This window comes from Homo sapiens, chromosome 16 (assembly GCF_000001405.40).
Source record: "Homo sapiens chromosome 16, GRCh38.p14 Primary Assembly".
Taxonomy (NCBI): Eukaryota; Metazoa; Chordata; class Mammalia; order Primates; family Hominidae; genus Homo; species Homo sapiens.
The window spans coordinates 48349076-48359574 of NC_000016.10; the positions used below are offsets into that span (position 1 = coordinate 48349076).

General features: G+C 42.1%; 1 protein-coding gene across 4 annotated transcripts in view; it reads left to right on the top strand.

Moving 5' to 3' along the window:
* The window catches only part of LONP2 (lon peptidase 2, peroxisomal), a 118704-nt gene that overhangs the window by 104776 nt on the left and 3429 nt on the right, over positions 1-10499 (top strand). For 2 of the 4 annotated variants that reach the window (NM_001348078.2, XM_047434738.1), the window contains exons 15-16: positions 2506-2723; positions 7590-7635. In NM_001348078.2, coding sequence (NP_001335007.1) covers positions 2506-2723; positions 7590-7635 — 264 coding nt within the window. Of the gene's footprint in view, positions 1-2505; positions 8275-10499 lie in introns of those variants that run through there. The other 2 variants (NM_031490.5, NM_001300948.3) reach the window with 1 other exon arrangement.

A 10499-nucleotide genomic window follows, 5' to 3' on the forward strand; every position in this document is an offset into this window, starting at 1 on the left:
TCTATACATGTGGGGTCTTGAGGCTCCAGATCCTAAACTGCTTATAAAAATAGTGTGATAAAATGTACAGAACTTGAGAGTATTTAAAGTTGTTAGTTGAGTATTAGTCTACAACAGACTAGACTACAATTTTAGTCCACAACAAGATTTTGGCAGGTTCATAGCAAGATGAGGAAAAAAAAAAAGAAATAGTCTTTTTTTCTTTTTTCTATCGAGATGGAGTCCGGCTCTCTTACCCAGGTTGGAGTACAGTGGCACAATCTTGGCTCACTGCAACCTCTGCCTCCCAAGTTGAAGTGATTCTCCTGCCTCAGTCTCTCAACTAGCTGGGATTACAAGCATGCGCCACCACGCCCGGATAATTTTTTCTATTTTTAGAACCTCCATAGAACAAATGGGTTTTCTACTTGGTCCCCTCTCAGAGCAAATCGTAGCCCAAGTAAAGGCTTCTGCAGCCTCAGGAGAGACAGCCACAGCGGCCTGGGGTACACCTTCAGCTCCAGACCATTACAAGAGGCAGGATGGAAAGCAGCAGCACTTGAAAGAAAGGCCTGTGAAAGCTGGAGAAAACCTCCTTTGAGAACAGAGGACAAGACGGGGCTTTGGGATTTGAAAGTGGTCAAAGAATTATTCAGGAAAAAACTATAGTGAAAAACAATTTGTTGTTAGAACTCCAACATCTAAAAGGAGTTCTAACAAACAGGAAAATGGAATGGAACAAATTATCCAAGAAATAACTGAACATTTCCTAGAAGTTAAGGCATCTTGAGATCGAAAGGACCATTACTAACCAGGAAAAACATTTCATCCCCTTGACTTTTCAGATTACTGAGGATAAAGCGGCCTCAGCACTGACACTGGATGTGCAGTACCTTCAAAACTATGAGGGAAAATGGGCCAGGCGTGGCAGCTGACGTCTGTAATCCCAGCACTTTGGGAGGCTAAACAGGAGGATAGCTCAAGTCCAGGAGTTCAAGACCAGCCTGGGAAATATATCTCTACAAAAATTGTTTTAAAAATAGTAAGGAGGCTGGGTGTGGTGGCTCACGCCTGTAACTCCAACACTTTGGGAGGCCAAGGTGGGCGTATCACTTGAGGTTAGGAGTTTGAGACCAGCCTGGCCAACATGGTGAAACCCTGTCTCTACTAAAAATACAAAAAAATTATCCGGATGTGGTGGCGCATGCCTGTAATCCCAGCTACTCAGGAGGCTGAGGCAGGAGAATCGCTTGAACCTGGGAGGCAGAAAGTTGCAGTGAGCCAAGATTGTGCCACTGCACTCTAGCTTGGGTGACAGAGTAAGACTGTCTCAAAAAAAAAAAAAATAGTAATGAAAGCTGTGAGGGAAAATGTTTTACATCTAGTCTTGTATACATGGCCTTAGTATCAATCAAGTGTGAAAGTAAAATATTTTCAAACATGCAAGGAATCAGTTCATCTTACACTCTTTTGAAGAAGGTACTTTGAAGGAGTACTTCAGCAGCATGAACAAAACCTTGAAAGAAGATGCCAGTGGGGCGGGAAGGCCTGGAGCAGCCAGCCAGTCTTAATTGGAGCAGATGCAACACATTACCCCAAAGCAAGAATACTCCATACTCTTCAAGTTCCTGTGGGCCAGGAATTCAGGAGAGGCTGAGCTGGGTTCTTGTGGCCCAGGGTCTCTGGCCTTACAGTCTAGGTTCCAGCCAGGCTGCAGTCACATGAAGGCTGACAGGCTGGAGAAACTGCTTCCATGGTGGTTGACTCATGTGACTGGCAAATTGGTCCCATCTAGTGGCAGGAGGCCCCAGTTCCTCACCTGATGGACTTGCCCATAGGCTGCTTGAGTGACCTCAGACATTATGACTGGCCACCTCCAGGGCAGGTGATCAAGAGAGATTCAGGCAGCAGCTCTCGTTTTTTGTGACTCAGCCGTGGAGATCATACAGCATCACTCCCACCACACTCTGTTTCTTACCGAGTCACAAAGCCTGGCCCACATTCAAGCAGGGGGACCATTGTAGACATGTTTGAAAGCCACCATAGGAGCCTAGTTTAGGGATACATTTTCTTCATTAACCAGCATGGAGGTTCTGGCTTTAAACCTGTAGAGAGGGAAGTAACCCCAGCACACAGCTAAGCTCTGCAGGAGCGGCGCTCATGGTCAGAATCACGTGCTGCTTTTTCAGATCAACCTAAAGACTAGACGGTTGTGATTACACCTGAATGCCAATTTACTTTGACAGCATTTATAAAAACAATCATTGACAGAAGAGGAACTCATACCTATCAACAATTTAGAATCCCCCTCATCAGAGTCTTTAATATAACACCAATTGAAACATTAAAAAAAGGTTACTACTTATCCTTTTTCCTGGCTTTCCTAGCTCATGCTATAACAAAACGGAAGATGATTTGGATGTTTTAAAATAGTAGTGGTTAAATTCAGTGAAAGAAAGCTGGGTCAGGGTTTCTTTCAGCTTGAGGGTGATCATTAACCCTAAAAACTTTTTTCTCTCCTTACAGGTGGGTGGAATTAAAGACAAAGTGCTGGCGGCACACAGAGCGGGACTGAAGCAAGTCATTATTCCTCGGAGAAATGAAAAAGACCTTGAGGGAATCCCAGGCAACGTACGACAGGATTTAAGTTTTGTCACAGCAAGCTGCCTGGATGAGGTTCTTAATGCAGCTTTTGATGGTGGCTTTACTGTCAAGACCAGACCTGGTCTGTTAAATAGCAAACTGTAGGTCCAAATCTCAATTTTTTAGAATTTTAAGTTATGAAGTGCTCAAAGGTACTGACACAGTTGATTTTATTCACACCATTAGGGGTATGCAAGATGTCCCTGTTTTATAAACATAATCACAACAGTAATAAACCTCAAGTAGTGGCTAGTGTTTAGTATAGAAATATAAGATGTTGATTTAGTAAACTGATAAAAATCGAATTCTTGTCTTTTTAGTGGGATCCTTACTGTCCCTGGAAAGATATAGCATAGTGGTTCTCAGCACAGTCTCCAGAACAGAAGCATCTGTAGTACCTGGTAACTTGTTAGAAATGTACATTCTCAGGCTCCACAGCAGGCCGCCTGAATCAAATCCTGGGAGGTGGGGACAGAAATCTGTGTTTTAAGAAGCCTTCCAGGTAATTCTGCTGCACACTCAAGTTCAGGAACCACCGGTATAGACCATTACCTTAGTGGATTTACCTGTAGAGTTTATTGGATCCTGAAACCAATCAATTACTTAGAACTAGGCAAAGATGAAAGTATAGCCAACTATTCTTGGCTATATATATATATTCAAGTGGGCCGGGCGTGATGGCTCACACCTGTAATTCCAGCACTTTGGGAGGTCGAGGTAGGCAGATCACCGAGCCCAAGAGTTCAAGACAATCCTGGCCAACGGCGAAACTCTGTCTCTACAAAAAATATACAGGCGTGTTAGCATGTGCCTGTAATCCCAGCTTCTTGGGAAGCTGAGGCACAAGAATTGCCTGAACCCAGGAGGTGGAGGTTGCAGTGAGCTGGGATCGCGCCATTGCACTCCAGCCTGGCTGACAGAGCGAGACTGTCTCTAAAAAAAAAAGACTCAAGTGGACCCTACAATGAAGCCTACACATCCCAATAGAAGCCCCTTCTTATGCTGAGGGAAGCAGCCCTCAGAACATGATAGCTTGTATCCAGCAGAGTGGCACGTGCTGGCACACCTCACAGAAGCACCCTGGCCCTGGATGCCTGCAACCTCAGAAGAGTGCAGCTCCCAGAGGGAGGCAGCCATCCATCTGGGATGGTCCTAAGCATGGAATCCTAACTCCTGATTCCGTCTCCTATTTCTTGCTTGGCTACGCCAGTTCCCAAATCTGGTAGATGTCCATGCCCATGTGCTCCTGCTGGGACTCAATTCAGGCTATGTATGACTATGAAGTCAGGCTCATCTGCTTACTGGCTGTGTGAACTTTTTGTATCTTGGTTTTCTTCATCCATGAAATCCAAGTAATACTACCTAATTGTTACTGTGGAGATTAAGTTCAAATGCAATGTATAGTAATATTAAGCAATTTCTAGTTATTATTCTAGCCAGTAATGGACTTCAGAATCTTTTATTACACAATATAAGAATATGTATGTAAAGACATTTTGGAATTTCCTGGATGAGAAGGAAGTCTGGGCTGGGCATGGTGGCTCACGCCTGTAACCCTAGCACTTTAGGAAATCGAGGCGAGTGGATCACTTAAGCTCAGGAGTTCAAGGCCAGCCTGGGCAACATGGCAAAACCCCATTTCTACAAAAAATACAAAAATTAGCTGGGCATGGTGGCACCCGCCTGTAGTCCAGCTACTTGAGGCTGAGATGGGAGGATGAGGGAGGTCGGGGCTGCAGTGAGCCAAGATCACGCCACTGCACTCCAGCACCCTGGGCGACAGAGTGAGACCCTGTCTCAAAAAAAAAAAAAAAAAAAAAGATTGGGCCAAAATACTGTGATAAAATAGCAGGCCTGCTGATAAAAGTTTATCTGAATGCATTGAGAGGAAAAGTCCAGACCTAGGACTAGTTATGGCAGTTGGAGAGAAAGAACATCGGGATGTTTGAAAATATGCCATTGACTATCTTAACTACTGTAATTTTATCATTTCCAACGTCATCTAACTGGGGACTAGAACAAACTGTGAATTCACTTTCAGCAACCAGAGGGCGCTAATCCACACCCACATCGCTCTGCCCTGTTCCACCCAGCAGGGGCAACAAGGATATAACTTGGGGTTCTCGGTATTCTTCCTTTAGTCCTGACACAGGCAGCCTTGCACTTTGTAGCAGCAGGAGGGCACTTGCTTTAAGCATATCTTTCGAAAGGCATCCATTGAGAGAATAATGCATTCTCCCCTTGCTGTGTATGACATGGAACAGTATGACCATTGCACTAGCTTTGTTTTTGGTTTGTTTTGTTTTTTTTTTAATTCCAGGGGTGGGAGGTTGGTTGGTTGAAGTCTAAGCTCTTCCTTTTTCACCTGGGTTTTTTTTTTTTGGGGGGGGTGGGGGGTTAGGGGTGGGGCGGGTGGGGAAGAGCCAAAATTTTAACCATTTTTAAGCATATAATTTGGGGGTATCAGTTACTGGATCTAAGCATGTCCACTCTACACGCTTTTTTTTTTTTTTTTTTTTTTTTTTTTTGAGATGGAGTCTTGCTCTGTTACCCAGGCTGCACTGCAGTGGCATGATCTCGGCTCACTGCAACCTCTGCCTCCCCAGTTCAAGCAATTCTCATGCCTCAGCCTCCCAAGTAGCTGGGACCACAGGTGTGTGCCACCACGCCCAGCTAATTTTTGTATTTTTTAGTAGAGACAGGGTTTCACCATGTTGGCCAGGCTGGTCTCAAACTCCCAACCTCAAATGATCCGGCCACCTTGGCCTCCCAAAATGCTGGCATTACAGGCGTGAGCCACCACACCCGGCTTACATGCATTTTTTATCACCACAAACTGAAACTCTGTACCCACTGAAAAAGAGCTCCAAATTCCACCCTCACCCCAGACCCTGGTAACCACTATTTCACTTTCTTTCTGAATTTCCCTTCATATGAGTGGGATCAAACAAGAGTTGTCCTTTTGTGTTTAGCATTCTTACTTAGCAAGCCATCAACTGCTCGAACAGTCACTGGGGCAACTACTTTTCGCCCAGTGTCCTCCAGAAAAGAAAGATCTGGAGGGTCAGGCCACTCTTTTTCTTCAAAATAATGGGGTGCAGAAGGGTAGGGATGAACCTCTTCCTCCTTTGCCACTTTAGCTTTAGCTCAAAGGAACTCCAACTTTTTATTATTTGCAACAGTTAGCTTTCTTTGTTTCACATCTCTGCCTTGCAGAACCATGACCTATCAAGGTGTTTTGTCAAACAAAAACTAATACTTTCCCTGGGAAAAAGCCATGTGGTAGCAAGTACCAGAAATTTTTATGGCCAAATAATACACCACTATATCCATAGACCGCATTTGGTTTATCCACTCATCTGCTGATTGTTTCCCCCTCTTGGGTATTATGAGTAATGCTATGAACATGGGTGTACACATCTCTCTTGAAGTCCCTTCTTAGGTCCTTTAGGGATACATATCCAGGAGCAGAACTACTAGATCACATATGCTAAGGTCTGAATGTCCCCCCACCAAATTCGTATGTTGAAGCAACCACCAACGTGATAGGTGAGGCTTTAGGAGGTGATTATGTCATGAGAGCTCCATCCTCATTAATGGATTTAGTGCCTTTATAAAGGGGCTCAAGGGAACCAATTACCTCCTTTTTGCCCTTCGATTCCCTTCCACCATATGAGGACACAGCAACAGGCCCCGTCCTAGAAGCTGAGACTGGGCCCTCAATAGATGATACCAGTCTGCCAGCACGCTGATCGTGGGCTTCTCAGTCTTCACAACTATGAGAAATAAATTCGTACTTTTAAATTACCCAGTCTCAGGTATTCTGTTACGGTTAACACAAATGACTAAGACAACAGGATAATTCTGTTTAACTTTTTGAGAACTGCCAAACTTTTCCACCGCAGCTGCACCATTTGACATTCCTTCCAGCAATGCACAAATGTTCCAGTTTCTCCACATCCTTGCCAGCACTCATTTTCTGGGTTTTTTATAATAGCCCTCCAAATGGGTGTGACGTATTTTGATTCTATGTCCCTAATGACTAGTGATGTTGAGCATTTTCTAGCATTGATTTTTAAGATGTTACCCAAAGACCCCTTGTATCAAAATAAGCTGGATTTTTTTATTGAAAATTATTAACTCTAGAAATTTTAGTTTAAACTAGACTTAGGGATATGTGTATTTTACCGGTATTCCACGTTTTATGCATGGGTTTTTAAAACTTCTCAAGTATTAAAACTAAAAGCTTTAGGTGCTTTGCTTATCAAGAAATCCTACACTGTCCACTGGAGACATCCATGTTTTTACTTGGCTCTGCCCCTTTAGTGGTCCCTGTGAACCTTACCTCAAACCATGCATCTGGGGCAGAGATCCTTACTTGCTTGGTGGTTACAAATGCAAATACAGTGAAGAATGTCATCTTTGTGATTGTTCCTGAAATAGTTCACGAGAAATCCATGACCGTAAAGTACTGTGATAGTGATGTCTACCACTGTGAGCTTCCAGTACTAGGTGATTGGTCTGCATTCACAGTGACCAAAATCAGCTATGTGGCCAGGTAATTCACTGCTGAGGGCTTTGGATTTTCCTTTATGAACTACTGAAATGAGGTCAACTTGACTATTACTAAGGGACATTTTGCTACAAAGAATGTTAGTTTTGCCAATTCCCTTTCCAAATCTAAAATTTATTTTAACCAGGATTTTAGATGTAAACATCAAGTAGTTTTGGTTGTTTCAATGAAGTAACATGTTTAAGCTCACATTATTTGAAGTACTTCAGTTCCTATTGCCATGAAAATTGTATCCAGCAGCTAAAAAAAAAAAAAAAAAAAAAGACTACAGTTAGTCATTATCCAATTTGATGATTTATGGTCCAACACTAATGCTCATTTTTTTTGTTTGTTTTACAAACATTTGGTGGATACCACAATGAAAACTGCACTTAAAAAACAAAAATGCTGAAAGAGGAAGGAAATATCAAAAAGGTCTGAATAGACAACAGGCAAATATGGTGAGTGGTCATTGAGATGTTTTAAAAGTTACAGCAAAAGGACTTCTAAAACAATTTTAGGAAAAGCTTTGTCATGAAAATTCATTTCTTTGGAAATACTGTAGTTTGTACTTAATGACACTGTCAGCACATTTCTAGGCAATACAAACTCTTGAGGCTAAATCCTCATCCTGACATGACAGTGCAAGCCTGTCAAAATGTGACCCCAAAACCAGGTGTCCTTTTGCTCCATTATTTATATCTGTAAACCTGTTATTATTTTCAGAATTCAGAAAGGCCTAAGAAAATTACATCTATGATAATAAAGTGTATTTCTTTGTCAAGTTTCTAGAGCTATATAAGGATAGCGAAAATATTTGGTTCAGCAAGACACTGGGGTATCAAGTCAGGCATAATAAGCACTTTATAGCACATCTAGCCTTCCTCATTCCCTTACGCAGTGGACATCATACCCTTTTGTGGAGGAGGGACCAGGCAGAGAAGGTATTTAAATAAAAACTGGTAGATACAGAGTCAGAAGTCAACCCAGGCAGTTAGAATCTACAACCCACACTGTTTGCCACCAAATCTTAGTAGATGCTTGATAAGGAATTTTGTTTGGATGGTGCCATTTTTAGATAAACGTACGTTTCTTTTGGTAAATTCAGGTTAGGATCATAAGCAGTAAACTACCAAATACTCCTTTGTGCTTTGAACATGCACACTGGATGAGTGGGGAGGGGAATGACAAAGCTTCAAACTCCGGGTCTCTGTAACACTCTATCTGTACCTTTCATGTTTAACCTACACAAATACCACAGTCCTGCGTGGTAGTTCACACACACTATTCACCCTGTCGAGTTTCGACATTACTTTTATGTCCATTCTAATGCAGCAGTCACAGACTGACCCCCCAGGTATGTTGGATTTGATCCATTATTTTCTTAATTTGGATTACTTACCAATTCTTCTAATCAGGAGTGTGAATGAAATAGAATTCTACCATTAGTAGAATCACTGCAGATGTTTCTAAATATGAAGAGCTTTTGGGGGTTGGAGGCAGCACACTATTATTTTGGTGAGCTAAGCTATCTACAGCCACTTACATACGTTTGAAGTTTGCAGAAAGGTGGGTCTTAAAATCATACATATTACAATAAAAATTACTCACAAAGGAAAAACTGTTCCCCAAAAATTAACACACCAAACTGGCCCATGATTAAATAGGACAATTTCAAGTTTAAGGGTATAAAAGCAATAGAACAAAGTTAATAAGTATCTCCCATACCTACCCCATGTACAGCCTCCTGAAAGACACCAAAAATAAGAAATGGAGGAAGTCTTCGTTATAACAAGCAATTTCAGGACAAGAGTTATGCCTCATAAATCAAATGTGTAATGGACCAAGAAATATGGCTATAGATCTTACCTCTATAGGCTAAGAATATGAAGACCCAAATGCAAATAGTTAATACTAAAATGTCAAGCTTATTAACTGTTAAACACAAAATGTACTACCTTAATTTGCTTAAATTAGCAAAACATGAGGTGAAAATGAAAATGGAAAACTTCACACAGTTACTGGTGTCCTCTGGAACCTCTCCAGAAAGCAATGATGAAGTGTGTAAAAAATAATCCCAAGAATATAAACAGAAAACATACAGGTATGTTCATGGTTTACTTATATCCAGCAAGAACCTAGGTAAAATTACAGTGAATCCTCAAACTAACAAAAATTATTTTTCCAAGATTATTAAAGTGGTGAAACACTCAGATGACCATGTTGTGTGATGAAAGGCCTACAAGGTAATACATAAAAGGGCTCCCAATATCTTTGAAAATAAACATGTGGCTGGAGCCAGCTGCTCATGCCTGTAATCCCAGCACTTCAGGAGGCCAAGGCAGGAGGATCACTTGAGCCCAAGGGGTTTGAGACCAGCCTGGGCAACATAGCGAGACCCCATCTCCACAAAAAAATTTAATTAGCCAAGCATGATGCCATACACCTGTACTCTCAGCTACGCAGGAGGATGAGATGGGAGGATCACTTGAGCCCAGGAGTTTGAGGCTGCAGTGAACCGATTGCACCATTATACTCCAGCCTGGGTGACAGAGGATGAGCATATGTACATACACATAAAAAAAACTGGAAAAATAAAAATGTCACCTGAGTGGACAGTTAAGATTACACATCTCAATTGTATGTGCAGTTTTATAATTTCCAAAGTCTACATGAACTTTATAATCAAAACACTTAATAGTAAAACTACAAAATGATATACCTCCACGAATATACCCAATATGTTTTGTTTTTTGAGCCAAGAGTCTCAGTCCGTCACCCAGGCTGGAGTGCAGTGATACGATCTTGGCTCACTGCAACCTCCGCTTCCTGGGTTCAAGGGATTCTTCTGCCTCAGCTTCCCTAATAGGGTGTGCCATCATGCCTGGCTTTTTTGTACTTTTAGTAGAGACAGGGTTTCACCATGTTGGTCTCGAACTCCTGACCTTAAGTGATCCGCCCACCTTGGCCTCTCAAAGTGCTGGGATTACAGGTATGAGCCACAGCGTCCAGCCACGTTTATTTTGAAAGATATTGGGAGCCCTTTTACATATTATAATGTAACCCTTTCACCATACAACATTAAATATGGAATAAAAGTCACTTTTTCCAAGCACACATGCTAATGAACAGACTTGAATATAAATCTGTGGTTGAACTGTTGTTCTCTTTCACCATAAAAATGGCTACGCAAGGCCGGGCGCGGTGGCTCACGCCTATAATCCCAGCACTTGGGAGGCAGGCGGATCACAAGGTCAGGAGATTGAGAACATCTTGGCCAACATGGTGAAACCCCGTCTCTACTAAAAATATAAAAATTGGCCGG